The 2,916-nt window shown below is 40.6% G+C and overlaps 1 pseudogene; it reads right to left on the reverse strand.

Moving 5' to 3' along the window:
• EIF3LP3 (eukaryotic translation initiation factor 3 subunit L pseudogene 3) lies at positions 1,664-2,626 on the reverse strand (annotated as a pseudogene).

Genomic DNA, 2,916 nt, shown 5'->3' on the forward strand with positions numbered 1-2,916 from the left:
CACTCCTTGGTACCAATTTTCTGTATTAGGCCATTCTCACATTGCTATAAAGAAGTTCCTGGCCAGGTGCGGTGGCTCATGCCTGTAATCCCAGCACTTTGGGAGGCCAAGGTGGGCAGATCATGAGGTCAAAAGTTTGAGACCAGCCTGACCAACATGGTGAAATCCTGTCTCTACTAAAAATACAAAAATTAACCAGGCGTGGTGGCACACGCCTGTAATCCCAGCTACTCAGGAGGCTGAGGGAGGAGAATTGCTTGAACCCAGGAGGAGGAGGTTGCAGTGAGCCAAGATCACGCCACCACACTCCAGCCTGGGCGACAGAGCGAGACTCTGTCTCAAAACAAACAACCCCCCCCCCCCCAAAAAAAAGCAACAACAACAACAACCAAAAAACAAATTCCTGAGACTGAGTAATTTATATAGAAAAGAGATTTAACTGGCTCAGGGTTCTGAAAGCTTTACAGGAAGCATGATACTGACATCTGCATGGTTTCTGGGGAGGCCTCAGGAAACTTAGAATCATAACAGAAGGCTAAGTGGGAGCATGCACATCACATGGCCAGAGCAGGAGCAAGGTAGGAGGAGGTGTCACACACTTTTAAACCAGATCTCACTATTGCAAGAGCAACAACAAGCATTTATGAGATATACACTCCCGTGACCCAGTCACCTCTCACCCAGTCATCTCCAATACTGAGGATTACAATTCACCATAAGATTTGGGCAGGGACACATATCCAAACTATATCAGCCCCCAATCTGGCTCAGAACTCAGGACATTTTAAACCAATTGCCAGTTGATGGCTGTGCCAAGAATCAACTTCCATTCAACTGGCCAACCTTTCATGAGTGGCTAATTGAAATTAACTGAAAATATGCCTGTCTGGGCTGATGCTTTAGTGGTTTAATGAATTAAATCTGTGACCCCAACTGTCTCACTGAGTTAATCTGAGCAACTATCTGAGCAACCTGGAGTAAGGCATACTTGAGAATGGGGAGTACCTAAATAAAGCCTATTTAAATAACTTGGAAGTCAAACCTGATGAAATGAATACTTGAATTTAATTAGACACAGGCATAATGTATTCAAGGTCGTGAGTGAACATTGTACTATAGAGGAATGTAAACATGAAAACTAGCACCATGAGCAGGTAGATATATGGCTCCTAGTATTAGGTTGGTGCAGTAATTGTGGTTTTTTGCCATTGAAAGTAATGGCAAAAACCACAATTACTTGTGCACCAACCTAATAATAGAATGGGAAGTTTCCTGATTACTTGCAACAATTCAGACATATCAAAAAGTTAAGAATATAAAATCATGTTACATCTGCAAAAATTTTTTTTAACCTTTGAGATCAATATTTTAGTATTATAACAGCAGAAATAGAATATGAGGGAAAAGTTAAAAGAGCTGATGGAAAAGTTGAAGGACAAAATTACCGTTCTAGTGAAGTAAAAAGATACACCTTTTGAAGGGGAAAAGAAACAGAGGGCAATGATGTGTGATCTGTAAATAATGTGTAAAACAATAGTAAAGGTTGAACTTCTGAGATATAAATCTCAGAAGTTTTAAAAAGAGACAGATTTGAGAATTAAAAATTATTACCACGTGTAATCTCATTGAGAACAAATCTTTTTTTTCTTTTTTTTTTTTTTTTTCTGGCTCCAAAGATCCTTTACTGAGATCCACTTGAAACACTTTGGTCCTTATCTTGTTAACTGAGTTGACAGGCTGATGGTTGATCTAGGTAAAGGTTTCACGGTAGCCTATAATATATCAAAACAGGTTCCTGAATAATGTATGTGAATGTCGTCAGGGTCTCTGTCCCATCTTCTTCAGGGTTCGATTAAGCTCCTCGAATCTGTGGATCTGACGGATGAAGAAATTCCCATAGCGCCTGGCGACCTTGGTGTCCATGATGTGGATCATGTCCTTATCAATGTAGAAGTCAACCTCTGAGGCTGACTGAAATTCATCATCCAGGGTTGTGATGCTGCTGGTCCACACCAGGTTCTTCAATTTGTGTTTGAAGACAGGAAGCTGGATCCTGAACTCCTGCTCTGTGAGGTCCAGGAAGCCAGCCAGCTTGGCCACAGGCATGGTGGTGTAGAGCTTGAGGAAGCTGCGGATGGTTGAAAGCTGGGCCTGCTGCTGTACTTCATCAGAAAACACCTTCGGCTGCTGCAGGAAGGGCTCTTTGTGGTAGTTGGGGTGCACATTATCGTAGTTGGGCACTACAGGCGACAGGAACTTGGGGCAGAAGTAACTGAAAAGTTCTTCATAGACTTCTGGGTCACCTTTCTGCATGCACAGCATCTTGTTGCTGTATTTATCCCACCGCTGGAGGTGAATGCTCTCATCAATACTCATGGGGTACATCGTGAGGGCAATGGCCAGCAGTGCATGCATCTGCTCATTCTGCTTGTTAATCATCTCATACTTGTATGTGGTCCTCTGGAACATGCTCTTGGTCCTCTGGATGTAGAGGAGGATGTTGGCAAAGACCCGGATGGCATCCTGGTAGTGACACATCATCAAATATGCAAACCCAACATAATAGTATGTGGTGACCTGGCACTCTGGCACACGGGAATATATACTCTTTTTGTTAAGTTCGATGGAGAACAAATCTTAAGCTTAATTTTTAAAAAAAATTTAGTTGGGTATTAATGCATTTTAATATTATGGCTAATTTTAATAAGACCTTATAAACAAATCTAATCCCAATCTTGACTGCAAAAGAATTTCATAAACATTTTTATAACCTTTTATAATATTTTATTTTATAACCTTTTATATCCATTTAATGTTATTTATCTTTTACATTTTTCTTTAAAACAATCCCTCAAAACTTCTAAACTAGGCAAAATTATGTTTCCCACCATGAAATTTCAGTTTTTTTTCCTCAAA

The sequence above is a fragment of the Homo sapiens genome, chromosome 10 (genome assembly GCF_000001405.40).
Source record: "Homo sapiens chromosome 10, GRCh38.p14 Primary Assembly".
NCBI classification, from domain to species: Eukaryota; Metazoa; Chordata; class Mammalia; order Primates; family Hominidae; genus Homo; species Homo sapiens.